The sequence below is a fragment of the Homo sapiens genome, chromosome 5 (genome assembly GCF_000001405.40).
Source record: "Homo sapiens chromosome 5, GRCh38.p14 Primary Assembly".
Lineage (NCBI taxonomy): Eukaryota > Metazoa > Chordata > Mammalia > Primates > Hominidae > Homo > Homo sapiens.
In genome coordinates this window covers 34,212,327-34,232,684 of record NC_000005.10, presented here as the reverse complement: position 1 = coordinate 34,232,684, position 20,358 = coordinate 34,212,327, and the positions used below count along the sequence as shown (strand labels likewise).

General features: G+C 34.7%; 1 protein-coding gene across 1 annotated transcript in view; it reads left to right on the top strand.

Moving 5' to 3' along the window:
• Positions 1–20,358, top strand: part of C1QTNF3 (C1q and TNF related 3) — a 226,867-nt gene that overhangs the window by 12,040 nt on the left and 194,469 nt on the right. Inside the window, exon 2 of the transcript NR_146599.1 lies at positions 14,235–14,390. The gene's annotated coding sequence lies outside the window, so the exon portion shown is untranslated. The remainder of the gene's footprint in view (positions 1–14,234; positions 14,391–20,358) is intronic.

Below are 20,358 nucleotides of genomic sequence, written 5' to 3'. Positions count from 1 at the left end.
CAGGAAACTCAGAAAATCATGGTGGAAGGCAAAGGGGAAACAAGGTTCTTCTTGACATGGCACCAGGAGAGAGAGAGCACAAGGAGGGAAGTGCCACACACTTTTAAACCATCAGATCTCTTGGAACTCACTCACTGTCATGAGAATAGCATGTGGAAATCTGCTCCCATGATCCAGTCACCTCCACCCAGGCCCCTGTCTTGACATGAGGGGATTACAATTTGAGATGAGATTTGGGTGGGGACAGAGGGCCAAGCCATATTATTTCTCCTCTGGCCCCTCCCAAGTATCATGTCCTTCTCACATTTCAAAACCAATCATGCCTTCCCAACAGACTGAAAGTCTTAACTTATTCCAGCATTAACTCAAAAGTCCATGTCCAAAGTTTCATCTGAGACAAGGCAAATCCCTTCTGCCTATAAGCCTGTAAAATCAAAAACAAGTTAGTTAATTTCAAGATACAGTGGGGGTACAGGGATCAGGTAAACACTCCAATTCCATAAGGGAGAAATTAGCCAAAACAAAGGGTCTGCAGGCCCCATGCAAGTCCAAAACCCGACAAGGCAGTCATTAAATCTTAAGGCTCTGAAACAATCTTCTTTGACCTCATCTCTCACGTCCAGAGCATACTGATGCAATATCTGGGCTCCCATGAGCTTTGACAGCTCTGCCTCTGTGGCTCTGCAAGGCACAGCCCCCACAGCTGCTTTCACAGGCTAGGATTGAGTGCCTGTGACTTTTCCAGGCACACTGTGCAAGCTGTCAGTGGATCTACCATTCTGGGGTCTGAAGCACTATGACCCTCTTCTCAAAGCTCCAGTAGGGAGTGCCCCAGTGGGGAATCTGTGTGGGGGCTCCAACCCCACATTTTCCCTCTGCACTGCCCTAGTAGAGGTTCTCCATAAGGGCTCCACTTCTGCAGCAGACTTTTGCCTAGACATCCAGGCATTTCCATACATCCTCTGAAATCTAGATGGAGGTTCCCAAACCTCAACTCTTCCCGTCTGCACAACCACAGGCCCAGCCTCATGTGGAAGCCACCAAAGCTTGAGGCTTGTATTCTCTGAAGCAATGGCCTGAGTAGTGCCTTGGACCCTTTTAGCCATACACAGACCATACACAGATACAAATACACACTCCATGAATGAGCATATGTGCTTGTTTAAAGAGACATACTAACCAAACAGTTGTATGCTGCCATGATATTGATTATGTCATCAAGTTCCTTATTTAACAAAACACAGCTGTGTATGAAGTATTTCTCTAGAATGTACATTCAATAGCAACTGGTTTTGTTCAGTCTTATGTACCCATATTATTTAAATGAGCACCTGGAGTCTAGAATTAACTAAAAAATATCTATGTTGATGCATATTAAGTTGATTTTGAAGTCATAAATTTTGACAAGAATTGATACTATGGCACAATCATAACTTTACAAAAGATGACCTGAACTAACATGATTTTATGCTTTTACCAGTGGAACTCCCTGAAATATATTCAGATAATTTGTTATTAAAGCAAAACTAAGTTTATTGAAACCCTGTGCCAAGAAAGTACACCATTTTGACATACTTTTGCAGTGTTTCAGCAGGGAAGAGTGAGAGGAAGATTTTTCATGTTTGTGGAGAATGGCTTAAGAGAGTTAAATGAGTCTTTCAAAGTGAGTAGCTGATTGAAATTGAGCTAAACTTAGAGCATAATAGTTTAGATAGTCTAAGAAATTGCAAAAAAAGTTGATGCCAAGCATACAAGAAATAACAACACCAAAAAATAGACCTAAATACAGACAAAATTAGATTAAAAACAAGAATATGTTCAATGTTAATAAAAGCAAAAGGAACATAGACATAGTTATGGAGGAGTTTTGTTTTGTTTTGTTTTAATAAGATAAAAATATGGTTAGTTTTATACCAATACACCTGGAAATCTGGATCAATTCTGTCCACTACAGTCATTACTAGTGACATGTAGATATTGAACACTTGAAATATGGTGAATTTGAATTGATTTACGCTATATGTAAAATACAAACTAGATTTAGTTTAAAAAATGTAAAGCTGAATAATTTTAATATTGTTTTATGCTGAGATGACAATATTTTGGATATAATGGATTAAATAAATATAAAATATTTTTAAAAATCAAGTTATATGGTAAAATTGGTCTTTTTGTTTTACTTTTTTATTTTGTTTTGGTTTTTGAAGGGATAGAAATCATGACTAAGATGGACCCTGGGGCATATCATTGACCATCATGAAACATGCACTGATTTGCCAAATGTATTATTTTCCTGTGGCTGTTATAAAAATTACAATACACTTAGTAGTTTAAAACAACATAAATTTATTGTCTAGCAGTATTCCAGGTTAGAGGTTCAACACAGGTCTTACTGATTTAAAATCAAAGCATTGGAAGACTGCATTCCTTCTATAGGCTCTGTGGAATAATCCATGACCCGGCCTTTCCCAGGCTTTAGAATCCAGCTGCATTCTTTGATGCATGTTCCCTGTCTTGGGCAGCTTGGAATACTGTAAGAAAATACCATAGACCGGGTGACTTAAACAACTGACGTTTATTTCTCAGAGTTCTGAAAGTTGGGAAGTCCAAGATTAAGGTGCTGGTATATTTGGTTCATGGTGAGGGCCCACTCCCTCTCTGGTTAGTAGATGGCCTCCTTCTCTCTGTGTTCACATGGCCTTTCCTGGATACATGTTTATGGAGAGAGAAAGAGAAGGGTGGTTGGGTGGGAGGTGGTCTAGTATCTCCACCTTTTCTTATAAGAACACTAACATTATCATGAGAACACCACACTTATGACATTATCTCAACCTAGGTTCCTCCCAAAAGCTCCATCTCCAGATACTATCACACTGCCAATTAATAGATTATTGAAAATATTAATATTTGAACAATGCCAATCATCTTCAATAGATTAATTTTAGGGAGACACAAATATTCAGTTCATAACAGTTCCTTTCCTTCACCTTCAAAGCTACAAATGAAGGAGCAAGTCTTCACATTCTCCTTTTATATCTCCCTCTTCTACATGTAAAGAATCTTACGATTGCATTTGGCCATCTAAAATCTATGATAGTCTCTCCATTTCAAAATCCTTAACTCTAATTGCATTTGCAAACTCTGTCCTGCCAGGTAAGCTAACAAACTTATAAATTATCTGGATTAGGACCCCATCATCTCTGAAGAGCCATTATTCTGACTACCACATCAATATGTTAGTTTATGTCAAGATTGCTGTAATAATCAATAGGTTCTGGTACCACAAATCCAGTAGCAGTCATTAAGGTTGATTGAGTTTATTGATTGCTTTCAGCTCCATTCTGCTATTAATCACTTTTGGGGATATAAAATGAAGACCTTATCACATAGAGGAAGAGGTAGATGTGATAGGAGCTTGAATATGTAATAAGAATTTTTTATGATATGTAAATGTGAGAAATGAATTAAGTATGTGCCATTTGTTCTCTTCTTTTTAAGACATTTCTTTCTAAAGGTTTAGTGACAGAAGTTGCATTCTATTAAAGATCCGTAAGTGCTGTTCTGCTGTAGGCATAAGCTTTCTTTCCTGCGTGCAGCATGTTAGGATTTAAGATTTCTATTTATCTAATACTCTGCTGTTTGTCAGATAAAATAACAATAAATAGTCCAATTATTGATAAACCCAGAAGTTTCATATTTAGGAATCGATGTTAAAAAAAAAAAAACTCTAATTGGCATCCTAAGGAAAATGTGTGCAGCTTAGCACTGATTCAACTGCATGTTTAGCCAAATTGTGAACAAATTACGGCCAGCTTCCGGACTCTTCTAGAGAGTGACTAAGGACGGCATAGAGGAATTAGGAATAGTAGCTTTATAGGTAAAGTAATTAAATGTAACCTTAAGCATAAAAAGATAAAGTTAACTAGGAAAATGAAAACTCAAGATATGCAGATTAAATATGACAAACAATGGATCTTTTTATGTGGATCTTGGTTTGCAGATACCGATATCTCATATAGTGATTCACTTGATCCAAAGGCATTTGATGGAAGCTGTCTTCTCCCAAAGACTATTTGCTTTTGGAAGAATCCTAAGAGTCATTAGTTAGAAGTTTTTGGTAGGGATACTTTCCTGTAATATGAAGATGACCTAAACCTCTTTACTTGAGAGATAGGAATCAAAGGATCAGTCTTTTAAAGACTATGGGTTTGCTAGTTGTTAGCTGTGCCTGATATTGACTTTTTTCCTATGATCTTTCCCTGCCGTGTCTCTTAGAAGACAAGGTATCCAGGTATGAAAACCAATTTTGCAGACATTGTTTAGGATACTAATGGGGAAAGTCTTCAGTAACTTTTGTTGAAAGAATGGATTTCCTGAGTCCTTACAGCATTTAGTTAAATAAGTGTAGATTTCTAGAATCAGAGCTAATATTCCTAGACACTTGGTTTAGCTGTTACTAACTTATGAACCACAGAAAGAAGAAATACCTTAGACCATGCAAGTTTGACGATCTCTGTGAACTTTACCAACTTTAGTTTCAGAATTCCATCTTTCTACCTTCCGAAAAGGTTGAAAGTGATATGGACAGTGAAGTCTGATTAATTGACAAAACTTTTCCATGTTAGTTAATAAAAATTCCGGTAAAATGGTTTCCTTGTTACTAGAGATATAGTTTGGGATTCCCCAGGCTGAAAAAAAAAAAAAAAGGATTTTCTCCATGCCAACAAGAGACAAATAATGATCAGAACATATTTAAAATCTGTTGCCAGCACTTGTTATGAAAAATTCATTTAGATTTTTACTGAGACATTTTACAGTTTTGCTAGGATTAATCTGACGAAGGTTGAGACAAGTTGTAAGGATATAGTTATATAAAGATATACTTACCAATTTTAGCAAAATTTTCCCCCAGCTATTGGTTAAATACATTGGTCAATTTGTCCTCATTGTGCCAGAAAAGCTCAGCAGTTCTGACTAAAGTTTATGTTAACCCATTGCCAGTAGAATGAAAGAGTTGAATCCTCTCTTAAATTATAATATATAGTTGACTCCTCAACAACACAGGTTTGAACTGTGCGGGTCCGCTCATATGTAGATTTTTTCCTATAAATATATTAGAAAATTTTTGGAGATTTATGAAAAATTGAAAAAGATAACAGGTGACCCATCTACACAAGCAATATTAAAAAACTAAGAAAATGATAAGTCCATGAATGCATAAATTATATGTAGATACTAGTGATCATTTAATACAATGAAATATATATGCATCTATTATAAAAAGTTAAAATTTATCAAGACGTAGGCACACACAGAGCATACATGCAGCCAATTGAAGTTTAGAGAAAAGTAAAACAAAAATATACAAAAGTAAATCATAACTGCACAAAATTAACTGTAGTACATACTGTACTACTGGGATAATTTCCTAGCCTCCACCTGTTGTTCTTGCAGTGAACTCAAGTGTTGTGAGTATTCACTTAAAATGCCACATAATGCTAATCATCTTCTTGTGAGTAGCTTGTCTCTCCAGTAAATTAACACAGTAAAAAGTGTTCTCTCATGTTTCTCCTGTATTATTCATGATGTCTAGTGCAATACCATAAACCTTGAATAACACCTTCAGACCTATAAAAAGTGCTGCTAGTGATGCTGAAAGTTCTTCCAGGAAACAGAGAAGGGTCCTGACATTACAGGAAAACAATCAATTGCTTGATAGGTACCCTAGATTGAGGTCTGCAGCTGTGTGTGCTGCCATTTCAGAAGAAGGATCCATCTTGTAAACACAGGATTGTAAACTTATGAGAGAAATAAATATACTGTAGTACTGTAAACGTATTTTTTCTTCCCTATAATTTTCTTAATAACACTTTCTTTTCTGTAACTAGCTTCATTGTAAAACTACAGTGTAAAATACATACAGCATACGAAATATGTGTTAAGGATTGTCCAGTCAACAGTAGGCTCTTAGTTTAGTTTTGGGGAGTCCAAAGTTATATGTGAATTTTTGACTGTGCTGGGGTGGTGGGGAGGGGTTAGGGAGGTTTGATGCCCCTAAACCTTGTGTTGTTCAGGAGTCAACTGTACAATTGAGAAGAATATGATTTAGAATTTCCCTGAGATTAAGAACATATTAAATGGTGGGAAGGATATTGATAGACCTCTAGATCTAGTGACACTATCAACTTTGACTGTGTCTGTTTGATGAAGGAATTAAAATCTAGTAACAAAAGCATTTTGTAGATAGTTATTGTACCAGTCTTTGTTCTTGAACATCAGTGTGTTTTTTTGAACTGAAAATCACACATTAAATGAAAGGCTTCATCTCAGTATATTTTATTTACACATAAATTTGAGCTGTTTTTTGTTCACAAGTTTGGCCGATAAAAGAGCCCTCACAATAGCTTTAATTACCATTTAAAATAACAAATTAATGGGATTTTTAAATTTTTCTCTCTTTTGTAGGGTGAAGGAGCAATGCTTTTGGTTAGTCGGTATTCTCTCAAGAAAATTTAAAGATAGTTTATACATAGAAGATATTTTAACAGGTTATATTCTGAACTTGTGGCCCGGATTTGGAAAAAGCAATATCAAGTATGGTTCAAGGGGACAAGAAAGAGAGAAGCATTTGTTACCATTTTTCAAAGTCAAAAATATTTAATCAGATAATATTTTAAAAGCCAGCAATAATTAGTAATGATTGGTATAATGTTTTTCTCAAAATTATTAAATAGGAGATAAAATTAAAAGCTTTATTTTTTTGCATTCAAATAAAATTTTAAATATTTTGATGAGCATATTAAATCAACAATGCATGTATTACATTGAACCTGACTTCTTAATAAGTTGCAACCAAATCTTTAATGATAAGTTTAGGTCAGAGAGATAATTTGAGATTTGTCACCATAAAGATAGGGTATAATGTGATGTAAATAATTAAGATCAGGTGGAAAGACAAATAAGATTGAAGGAAGACCCAAGACCAAGGTTTGGGGCACTCTCAGAATTTCTAAAAAAAAATTTAGACTATGAGTAAAGAAGGATTGATCAGCAAGGTGAAATGGATCAAGGAAATGTGGGCACTCAGAGGTACAGAGGGGTCAATTGCTGCCCAGAAAATACTCAGACGAATGCTGAACAATAGATTAGATAGAACAGATGTCCTAGAAATCATGAAGATAAGTCAGTTTATTAAAATACATATTATAAACAAAGAAGGAATTTACTGTTTGAAAAGTTGTCTTGAAGTATTGTTTTGGGAGAAAATAAAAAATAAACCTTATTTTCTAAAATACACTAAAACGAATTCCAAATGAATCAAAGGATTGTGTAGAGATATTTTAAATTAACAAAACAATGTTAGTGCAGATTCTCTTTAATTACTTCCCTGATTGTTTTACCTATATAACTCATTTAATTCTACTAGCAATCTTTTCATGTTGGATACAGCTATTCAAATTTTCTTTTGTTATTGCAATAGCCTCCTAACCATTCTTCCACAAAATTGGGGCACTAAAAGGTTGTGAAATTTCCTCTATGCCACAGAGCTATTTAGTGATGATTTGGCATTTGGAAGCACATAATCTGTCTTTGAAATGTTCATTTTTCTCTGATGGCCAGTGATGGTGAGCATTTCTTCATGTGTTTTTTGGCTGCATAAATATCTTCTTTTGAGAAGTGTCTGTTCATGTCCTTCGCCCACTTTTTGATGAGGTTGTTTGTTTTTTTCTTGTAAATTTGTTTGAGTTCATTGTAGATTCTGGATGTTAGCCCTTTGTCAGATGAGTAGATTGCGAAAATTTTCTCCCATTTTGTAGGCTGCCTGTTCACTCTGATGGTAGTTTCTTTTGCTGTGCAGAAGCTCTTTAGTTTAATGAGATCCCATTTGTCAATTTTGGCTTTTGTTGCCATTGCTTTTGGTGTTTTAGACATGAAGTCCTTGCCCATGCCTATGTCCTGAATGGTAATGCCTAGGTTTTCTTCTGGGGTTTTTATGGTTTTAAGTCTAGCGTTTAAGTCTTTACTCCATCTTGAATTAATTTTTGTATAAGGTGTAAGGAAGGGATCCAGTTTCAGCTTTCTCCATATGGCTAGCCAGTTTTCCCAGCACCATTTATTAAATAGGGAATCCTTTCCCCATTGCTTATTTTTCTCAGGTTTGTCAAAGATGAGATAGTTGTAGATATGTGGCATTATTTCTGAGGGCTCTGTTCTGTTCCATTGATCTATATGTCTGTTTTGGTACCAGTACCATGCTGTTTTGGTTACTGTAGCCTTGTAGTATAGTTTGAAGTCAGGTAGCGTGATGCCTCCAGCTTTGTTCTTTTGGCTTAGGATTGACTTGGCGATGCGGGCTCTTTTTTGGTTCCATATGAACTTTAAAGTAGTTATTTCCAATTCTGTGAAGAAAGTCATTGGTAGCTTGATGGGGATGGCATTGAATCTATAAATTACCTTGGGCAGTATGGCCATTTTCACCATATTGATTCTTCCTACCCATGAGCATGGAATGTTCTTCTATTTCTTTGTATCCTCTTTTATTTCATTGAGCAGTGGTTTGTTGTTCTTCTTGAAGAGGTCCTTCCCATCCCTTTTAAGTTGGATTCCTAGGTATTTGATTCTCTTTGAAGCAATTGTGAATGGGAGTTCACTCATGATTTTGCTCTCTGATTGTCTGTTATTGGTGTATACAAATGCGTGTGATTTTTGTACATTGATTTTGTAACCTGGGACTTTGCTGAAGTTGCTCATCAGCTTAAGGAGATTTTGGGCTGAGACAATGGGGTTTTCTAGATATACAATCATGTCATCTGCAAACAGGGACAATTTGACTTCCTCTTTTCCTAATTGAATACCCTTTCTTTCCTTCTCCTGCCTAATTGCCGTGGCCAGAACTTCCAACACTATGTTGAATAGGAGTGGTGAGAGAGGACAAATCAAAACCACAATGAGATACCATCTCACACCAGTTAGAATGGCAATCATTAAAAAGTCAGGAAACAACAGGTGCTGGAGAGGATGTGGAGAAATAGGAACACTTTTACACTGTTGGTGGGACTGTAAACTAGTTCGACCATTGTGGAAGTCAGTGTGGCAATTCCTCAGGGATCTAGAACTAGAAATAGCATTTGACCCAGCCATCCCATTACTGGGTATATACCCAAAGGACTATAAATCATGCTGCTATAAAGACACATGCACACGTATGTTTATTGCGGCACTATTCACAATAGCAAAGACTTGGAACCAACCCAAATGTCCAACAATGATAGACTGGATTAAGAAAATGTGGCACATATATACCATGGAATACTATGCAGCCATAAAAAATGATGAGTTCATGTCCTTTGTAGGGACATGGATGAAATTGGAAATCATCATTCTCAGTCAACTATCACAAGGACAAAAAACCTAAGACTGCATGTTCTCACTCATAGGTGGGAATTGAACAATGAGAACACATGGACACAGGAAGGGGAACACCACACGCTGGGGACTGTTATGGGGTGGGGGGAGGGGGGAGGGATAGCATTAGGAGATATATCTAATGCTAAATGACGAGTTAATGGGTGCAGCACACCAGCATGGCACATGTATACATATGTAACTAACCTGCACATTGTGCACATGTACCCTAAAACTTGAAATATAGTAATAAGAAAATAACATTTTTTAAAAAAATGTTCATTTTTAATTATAGCACTACACCATGCACTGAATCACTGAGGGTAAAAATGCACACTGTTAATAAGAAGGAGGGAGTCAATCTCATTAGTATTATAATATTTATACTGAATGAGACTCCATTCCCGAAATTCACAGAATTAAAATAATAAAAATAAAAATTTATTGCTAGCCAGTTTGCAGCAAAAAGGATTCATTCTCATATTCTGCTATGAGAAAATATATGAAATTGAATTTTAAAAGACATTTTTGGAAAGCCCTTTGAATTAACCAGAAAATTGTTAAATTCGTAGTTTTTTTGACTAACATTCTTCTTCCACGTTAACAGAATTTATATATAAGTGACACTCATTGCATATACTTTTAAGGGGTAAAGTAATTACTAAATTTATGTACACTATGAATACTTCATTTTATGAAATTGCATATATACCCATATGCAAATGTGCACAGAATCAATAGGGTAACCATAGACATAAAATGATCAGTGCAGGATATTTTATTTATGCATTTTATATATAATATACTTTTCATTTAATATTTTTGCTAATTTTATTGAATTGAATATTTATGCCTTGGTTATAGAACAACTAAATTTATTTTCAAAGAAACTCCATTATTATTGTCTGCAAGAGTAAAACTTATAAACAATCTAAAAATTCAACCAAATACAACCATTTACAATTGTGCCCTAGTTGAATATGTAATCATAGGAGAAAACACAGGTGTTGAATTTTTAGAATTTCATTTAAAAAATAATTGACACAATCCCTAAGGTATCATATAAATTAATTGAATTGTTATTGTCTTGGGTTAACATTTATTTCTAGAGTTTTTTTTCCCCTAATATCTGATTTTTTCCATTAACATTACTTATTTGGATAATCACAAAAAAATCAACATTGCCAAAAGATAGATAATACCACAAGCGAAATATCTATAATAATGATAGGAAAATGCTTTGATTCAGGCTGAATGAGAATTAGTCTAGGAAAACAGCTTGGACCCTCTCATTCCTGTTAATGTCATCTCTGTGTTTAGCACTGCTGCTATTCCTCAGCCCCTAAGAAATGCTCTATTGCTGGGCATGGCATATGAGAAGCCAAGAAAAATGACCGGCTGCTTGGTGACAGGTCTCTAGTCCTCATGCCAAGTTCTGCCAGTGATTTAAATATTAAGTAATGGAAAGAATTTTGAAATCCAGGATGATTAGAAAAGTCATTTTCTACAAAACTGAAGCATTGTCTTTAGAGATTAAAATCTATGAAAATAACATTATTGAAATACTAGACTTCAGACTATTTTTCTGAATTACTGTCACTGTTGAAATAGGTCTTTCAGCCCATTAAGATAAACACCACAGTTTTCTCTTCATCATCTTCAGCTGTAATTTTATAGTGAAAGGTACTTGCATAAAAGAGTTCACACTATCTGAAAGATGTCACATGTAACATTGACTGGCAGCCATTTCAGACTGGCAGACAGCTAATAAATCATTCAGAACTATGTGTCACTCGTTATGGCTTTAAAATTGTATTCCTTCTCCTTTGATAAAGAACATTTCAATGTCAAATAGTTTGTTCTATTTAAACTTATACATCAACCAGAATATTGAGATACACAATAAAATTAAATGATTTGGTAATACCTTTAGAATTTATCTAAAAACAGCCGTATGTATTTGCATGACAGATTTGGTTCACAAACCAATCAAGTTGTTAGTATCAAAGGCATGTTTTAGTGCTGATTTATGTATAGATAAATATAGGAAATGACATAAATAGAAATACTTCTTTATAAAATTCCTTGACCTTGTGATATCTTGGTATGAAGAATCTTAAAGGAATCATTTAAAAAAATTCAAAAGCAAACAATTTCGATTTTACAAGAGCTAAGAAAAAAACATTTTGCTATGGACACAGATCGCTCTTCAAGAAAAGATTTCTTTCCCCCTTGGCTGCTAGGAGCAATATTACAAAGCAGCCTTCAGCTTTCAGCTCCTTCAAAGTTTGCCTCAGCTGTAACCATTGTCTGGCTGAATGTTAGGTCATCCTGGAGCACTGGACATGCAAACATGAATGGAGATGAGGTATAAAGCCCGGCCATTTTGACCCACCTGAGAGGATTCTGACAGGTCCTTCCAGTGCCTGAGAAACCCAGGGCTCACATGCTTTATATTCTGATCATTCTGTAGGGGTTGTTCCCATGGGTGATAGAAGCTGCCAAATATAAAGAGGCAGCCATGCAAATTTTTAGGAATTATTTCCAAAACTCTCATAACAACATCATATATATTTATTGGTTTAAGTAGATTTCTGAGGAGTAGATAGCAACGATAGAAGTGAAAGAAAGTAAATGCAGTTGTTAAAGGATTAGTCTTTCCATACTTAGAAAGTACACAAGTTGCATATACACTATGTTCCTTCCCTAGAGCAAGTATTTCAATGCAGTCGTGTGTGTGTGTGTGCTTGTGCGTGTGTGGTGTGTGTGTGTGTGTGTGTGTGTGTATGCTAACTGAACTCATTATAGATTTTATTGGATCAGATATATGAAGAGACTTGGAAGACTTGGGTTTGTCTGGAACTGGGTGAAATAGAGAAGGACGATCATTGACATAGAAAGCTCATTACTTTGACCTTTGAGTATAAATAGTCTTACAATAAAATGGCATCTCCACTGTCTAAAACACATTTTTACATTTGCTCTCCTTCTGAAATTATTTATGTGGAATTAACAAATCTACTTATTACCTTAGAAACAAACGATCCCTAATTTATATTATTTATTGTATATTTGTAGATCCACTTAAAATTGATTTGCAATGTAAGGAAAAAATGCATTTTATAAGTTGTTTGCTTTGTGTAGTGCATCTTGTTAACCGTAGGACTACTGTTGCATTGAAACAAAATAGAATTAATCTGTTCAGGTAAATAGAACTGGAAGTGAGATTTGTTGTCACTCCTTCTCCTTCAAGTACTGACCAGTCTTTTAATTCACACATAACTAACACTGTGCAATAATATTTTTTTGTTCTCTGTCTTTTCAAATAGAACTGAAGCTCCATGAGGAGATGTTTCATTGTCAGTGAGCACATTCTTGTCAATTAGTTCCTTCTTGTTTATTAGTATAGCCCCTGTGTCTAGAACCTTTCCAGGTATTCAGTAGCCATTTAAAAATTATTTGTTGAATGAATTGTTATTTTAAAGAACATCCACAAGTTTTGCCTGACTAGGCATGGGAATACATGCCCATCTTTGGACTGAATGTCCATTTTTCCCTTCTTTTATCAAAATATTGGTTAAATGATCAGGACCACTGTTAGAAGGAATTTTATATCTAAAAATAGTTTACCTTCTTTGGATGTAAAAAACAGTTGTAGTAGTTCTGGCTTTTATATTATTCGATGTTTCAAAGCGGTTTTTTTTTTTCCATCACAATATTCTATGTTCTTGAAAAGTACTCGTTCATGTGACTGCTATCATTTATGCTTGTGCAGCACGTAGATACAGGAGAGAAGATAAGGAAAATGCTTACCCTGTGTCTCCTTCCCTGTAACACAGTTTTTTTTTTTACCATATTGATTCTCCACTTTCTACTCCCTAAGTAAAATTTTGCAACAGGCATTTGGGAAACTCTGGATACAAGAAAAAAATTTTAATATTGTACAAAGAGACAAGAGGTGACTTCTTTTTTATTTTTCATTTAGAGTTTATAGTTTAATTAAAGAAAATGCACATATATCTAAAGATAATCATGGATAATACACTCATGTAATTACTACTTTCAGTGGTTGTAACAACAGCCAGAGCACAAACAGAAATGAGAAAGGACTATCAGCATTATGCAAATACATATCCTCTTTAAGAATTCCTGTTATAGTGAAAGCATTAAAATAATTGAACACGTACAGAGACCATATACTTTGTGATCTTTTAAAAAAAGTATTCAAAATATATTTCTGTGTGCAAAACATCTTCATAATGATCTTGTTTAAATGAAAGTATTTAGAATAGCACATTGTAAAATTATGCTGCAGAGCACAAGTATTTTTCTCTTTAGAAGACACATAATAAAATAGAATCATCAGTGTTTTTTCATAAACATGAATCTTTAGAGTGTTACTTGATCCTGCATAATAAGGGTACTTTTTTGCTTAATGTAAGCATAGTATACTAATTCTTTTAAAATTCAGAAAGCATATTTACAGTCTAGGCAGATGGGACATGAAGGTCACACAGCATGGGCAGTGAAATATCTCGTTTACCTAGAGTTCTAGAGAGAATTTTAGGAACTCTTATTTATTATCAGTGCATAAACAAGAGTAAACTGTACAAAACTGTTCGCAAAACTCTCCTCTTTCTACTCAGAAGGCTTTCCCTAGAATAATCATTATGGACTCTGTCCATCCTTTACTCATTCACTGCATGGGGACAGGTGTTAGTTATGAGATTGGTGAATTTAGAAAGCTAACCAATTTCATACCTATTTTGCGATTCTCAATTCACAAACTTTTGTGCGTTTCTTAATTATTTCCTTTCTTTTTCTTGCAGAGAGCAGTCATGATGGCCTGCACTCCACACAATGCAACAGAGTGAAAGAGCAGGTTCTGCTTCTTTGGTGTAGTCCTGAAGCTTCCTAAGAAACTTCACATCAGGTGATGGATAGGAGCAACCCTGTAAAACCAGCCTTAGACTATTTTTCAAACAGTAAGTAATAAAGGTGACGTTTTGATCTTTATCTGCTTAATTACTTCTGCTATGATTCTATTGATTCTAACATTGAAGGAGCAGTAAATTTATATGTATTATCAAACTATAAAACAATAAATAAACGATATATCAAATACATTATCACATCCTTATGTTCTTATGATAATATTGTCCTTTTTTAACAGTTTTTATTCTTATTTGTTGATTGGTTTGTCTTTATGTTGTCCTTTCTACTATCAAACTGAACATGTTGAGGTCATAGGCTATCATAACTGTACATTTCTGATGCTAACCATAGAGACTTAACAACAGTAAATAGGCCAAAATGGAATGTTGTTAGCCATAGTGTGTATTATTATTTCTTTTATACATTTGGTCACTGTTAGAGGAGTTTATCACTTTTTGCCTAGATTAATGACACACCAACCATCTACAAACGAATCATACCTTATTCCCTCACTGTAATTTTTAATGTTGCTATTTTTGCCTGTTAACATTCCATAGGTTTATCACATTGCTTAAAGATTTAATTTAATTTCTGTATTGTATATGTCATGAGAGATTGCTTTTAACCTTCCAGTGTTCATGGTCTCATTTTCACTAACATAATCCCAACTTTAGCTGTGCACAATACCACATTTCCCAGCATTCCTTGCATCTGGATATAGCTGTATTAACATAAGCCGTGTGAAACTTCTGGGATGGCTCCTTAAGTGCAGTTGACTCATTAGGGAGGTATGTCTTTTTTATTTTTCTACACTCTGCTGCTGTCCTGGAGTACAGACATGGTGGCTAGAAGCATGAAATCACCTTGAAGATAGAAGTCATTCATTGAAGTTAGTAAAAGAGGAATGTAAGTGTATAGGTTCCTGATGAAAATGGGAAGCTTATGTACTAGCAACAGAATGCTTATTATGCAGGCTTCCTATATGTAAAAGAGGACAAATTCTCATTTTATTAAGTTTCTGAAAGTAGATTTCTAAATGCTGGTTCTATTTTTTATGGAAAATAATGGCAAAAAACGCAATGCCTTTTGTACCAACCTAATAGTTAATAAACATATCCTCAAATGAAATGTCTTAGAATTGTATTCATCAAGTTAATATTAATAATTTACTAGAATAGCACTCTAAAAGGTTGCAGACTATGCATGAAAACACTTATAAACTACTACATGATAATCAATTCTTTTTGGCAAGACTGCTATTTACATGGACACAAGAGTTATTATAAGAATATTGTATGTATAGATGAATAGTGTCTGTTAAACACTGGAGATAATAAAAACAATAATTTTTCTGTTAATTATAAAAATCTGAACATTTTTGTGATTATATTTCACAAATGACACACCGTTTTATTTGCAGATTTTTCTTATCCCCAATGTTTTTGTCAATTTATTACCAACACAGCACACAATTCTAGTGGCAATGCATTATTACCTCTGCAGTTGATTTTGAAGTAAGAAGGCCTATTTATTGCATTCATTCCTGCTTAGATGACATCTTAAATTCATTAATTGGGTTATTATGCTCTATTCTATACATTTATTGATTTATAGATTTTGTGGACACAAATTTCAAAACATATTGGAAAATTTAGTAATAGCTTTTTAGAATCTATTCTTCAACATAGTTATTGAAAGTGAACAAGACGGACCTCCTCTAGAGATTAGGTTGAGAACCACTTCTTTGATTTGTTAAATATGTGTACATGGATACCATGTGGCTTTATTATGAGGAGCCACTTGAGTGGCTGAGTTACAATTCACAAAACATTGTCACAGGGAAAATATCGGTACAAATTTTCAAGTCACATGCCAAGAAAAAAAATCTTTCTAAATGCTTATAAGAAATACCTTAATTAATGGGAGCCCTTCAAAGTACACAAAACATCATAACTAGGAGTTGCAACACAACCAGCAATTTGCTGATTGAAATGCATTCATTCATACTGACTTCACCTGCTGAATGGAATATTGTGCTGTACTGTCCTTAGCTATGGAGAATTAAGGAATATCCCCTTCTGGTGTTCAACAACAACAAAAGAGCAAGAAAGATATATTCCTAATTTTTAAAGAAGAATGTAGAGATACTTAAACAAGACAATGAAGGTGGTAGAAAGATTATTACCATCCCCAAAGTGTTTGCTCATTAAAACATTTTGTGATATTCTTTGCCAATATCATACCTGTATGGATAATTGTTTTACTATCCACACAGTTATGAGAGTGAGAAGATGGAATATAAAAGACGGAACAAGAGGGAATCTGTGTGGTGACCACAGTAATCACAGGCTGGTTGGGATCCTAAACTTGGCCACAGCACAAAAGCATGTTCAAGTTTAAAGTCATGAGAGAGTCCTGGCATAGTGGCTCACACCTATAATCCCTGCACTTTGGGAGGCCAAGGTGGGAGGATTGCTTGGGGCAAAGAGCTCAAGACCAGCCTGGTCAACATAGTGAGATCCCATCTAAAAAAATGTTCTTTAAGTTAGCCTTATGTGGTGGCATGTTCCTGTGGTATCAGCTACTCAGGTGGCTGAAGTGGGAGGGTCACTTGAGCCTGGAGGTTGAGCCATAATCATGCCACTGCACTCCAGCCTTGGTGACAGAGTAAGACTCTGTCTCCAAAAGTAAAAAAACAAAACAACACAAAAAGTAAAGTCACAATAAAATGAGATGCTATTAAGGTTGTTTTATGTTGATTTTCAACTAGACCAGCATTTAGCCTGTACAAAGGCGTATACAAAATAAACCCTAAACCTAAATGGGGTTCAGCAGCAGCAGTGTGGGTTAAAGAAGCCACCGGTTCCCTGGAGGCCAGAACCACAGGCCTGTGGCCTTTTTTATTGTTTTGACAGGGAGGTGGAAAGCAGGAGTATAACTACATTCAAGTGTCTGCTCTGTTGCTGTATGAGAAAATCTGTGCTGTAGCACATCAAAGTTTTTCCAAATTGTGTTTCTTAGGACATCTTTGGGGTTTATATAAGTATTTAATAGAGCTCCCCTAGCCCAGGCTTACACAGGACATATGTCTAGTGTCATATGTATGTATGCTTAAATTTTAGCAGAAAGTTTGCTAAAATTTAAGTGAAGTAATGTTGAAGGTTGAATCATTTGAAACAAACTACCTGCACCAAAATATTCTTTACTGTACTGATTTCTATCCCACCCCAATGAGGCTGAATTTTAATCTTAACTCTGCTTGTAATTAGGTATTTATATGTGTCTATTATTCATTTTTTAACAAGATGTCTCTTCAGAGATAAAATGAGGGTAGCAAAACATAATTTTAATAGCCATTTATATGGCTTTGATAACAATTGTCTGTTCTACTTATTTGACTGATTCTAAACTCTAAAGGTTATTTTACAGTTAGTAAATTACATAATTTTTATGCAACAATTTGCCTGCCAGGATTCCTGTAATACTTGTCAGCTATCAGTAGGTATAAGCCTGTTAGCCTCTAATGTGAAGATAATATCTCTTTAAGTTATAATGCATTTACAATTGTTACAGTTTCTAAGGTCTTTTTACGTTAGAGATGCATCTGAGGATGATGGTTTTCAAGGAGATAGCTCTTTGACAAAAAATGACAATATGGGACTTAGTGTTATATTAATTTACACATTATGTTTTTGCTATAAAGAGATAAAAGGTGTGCTATACTACCTATAAATTACTGTATGCCACATTTTGTAGAATTGTTTTCCATATTATTGTAGAATGTGGCACTTAAATAGTATCATGAAAAAAGTTTATTCAAGAAATAAGACATTAATGAAATATAATTAATATATAAAGACTATATTTAAAAATAATTATGTATTTCTAATCCTAAACTTTTTAAGGTGACATTATTTTTTTCTGTGATATAATTTCAGTTTAGAAGAACTTTAAATTTTAATAAGATTTTAAGATGATTCAGTAATGTTAACATACTTTTCTTCTGGAAATTTTGTTTGTTAACAATTTAGCTGCATTAATTAAATATTTATATAGCTAATTTTAATACTGATATTTTAATACAATTCTTAATTTTACTCCTGGCTTTCAATCATTCATATATGTTTTTAAAAATTGCTTTTTCCGTTGCTTTACTTCTTAATTACTTTATCAAAGTCTTAATTGTATGTGGTTGATTTTAAAAGTTAAATATTTCTATAAGATTTATAAAGACAAACTGGGTACAGTGACTCACACCTGTAATCCCAGCACTTTGGGAGGCCGAGGGGGTAGATCACTTGAGGTCAGGAGTTCGAGACCAGCCTGGCCAACGTGGTGAAAGCAGTTTCTACTAAAAATACAAAGATATGCCTGGTGTGGTGGTTGGCCCCTGTAATTCCAGCCACTTGGGAGGCTGAGGCGGGAGAATTGCTTGAACCTTGGAAGCGGAGGTTGCAGTGAGCTGAAACCATGCCATTGCACTCCAGCCTGGGCAGCAAGAGCGAAACTCCATCACACACACAAAAAAAAAAAAATATATATATATATATATATATATGTATATATACACGTATGTGTGTGTGTGTATATATATATACACACACTATATATACGTGTATATATATACATATATATACACATATATATATACACACACACAACAGAAATGTCCTGGCTATATCTATATTAATAGGTTTTGCACATTTAAACCAAAGTCACACATATGGTTTGATTCTAATTAATTCTAATGCATCTTGCAGGTTACAAACTGTATTCTATTATGTAATTATCTGCTGATCCACTCTGTATCCTGTTGTGTAAGTTGCGATGATTAACCTCTGCCTTTATGATGTAATCCAAATGTAGCATATAGACCTCAATGATAAGATTTATCATGGTGCATTTAATCATTAATTTATTATTAATCTCTTTTATCCTGGTACTTAGAGTGCAGATTTTTCTCAACAAATATTTACGCAATCATTAAATGAAATATAGCCTTGTGTCACTTAGCAATGAGGATATGTTCTGAGAAGTGTGTGGTTAGGTGTTTATCTTACTGTGCAAACTTCATAGAGTGATCAATCTATAATGGTGATAGCAATTTTTCAACCCTATAATAATCTTAATGAGCCATTGTTTTACATGCTGTCTCTTATTGATGTAAACGTTGTTATGTGGCACATGATTATATAAAAGATATTAATCCATTCATTATTTATGCATTCATCCATTTGACCTATGGTAGTGTTCTATTGAAAATGAGTCATCGTGATATAGAAATCCACTCTTAGTTGTTTTTACTTTCTCTTTTTCGTGGGGAAGAGTGGGTATTGATTTTAAAAGTCTAATGAATGGGGTATTGTGAATAGTGCCGCAATAAACATACGTGTGCATGTGTCTTTATAGCAGCATGATTTATAATCCTTTGGGTATATACCCAGTAATGGGATGGCTGGGTCAAATGGTATTTCTAGTTCTAGATCCCTGAGGAATTGCCACACTGACTTCCACAATGGTTGAACTAGTTTACAGTCCCACCAACAGTGTAAAAGTGTTCCTATTTCTCCACATCCTCTCCAGCACCTGTTGTTTCCTGACTTTTTAATGATTGCCATTCTAACTGGTGTGAGATGGTATCTCATTGTGGTTTTGATTTGCATTTCTCTGATGGCCAGTGATGGTGAGCATTTTTTCATGTGTTTTTTGGCTGCATAAATGTCTTCTTTTGAGAAGTGTCTGTTCATGTCCTTTGCCAACTTTTTGATGGGGTTGTTTGTTTTTTTCTTGTAAATTTGTTTGAGTTCATTGTAGATTCTGGATATTAGCCCTTTGTCAGATGAGTAGGTTGTGAAAATTTTCTCCCATTCTGTAGGTTGCCTGTTCACTGTGATGGTAGTTTCTTTTGCTGTGCAGAAGCTCTTTAGTTTAATGAGATCCCATTTGTCAATTTTGGCTTTTGTTGCCATTGCTTTTGGTGTTTTAGACATGAAGTCCTTGCCCATGCCTGTGTCCTGA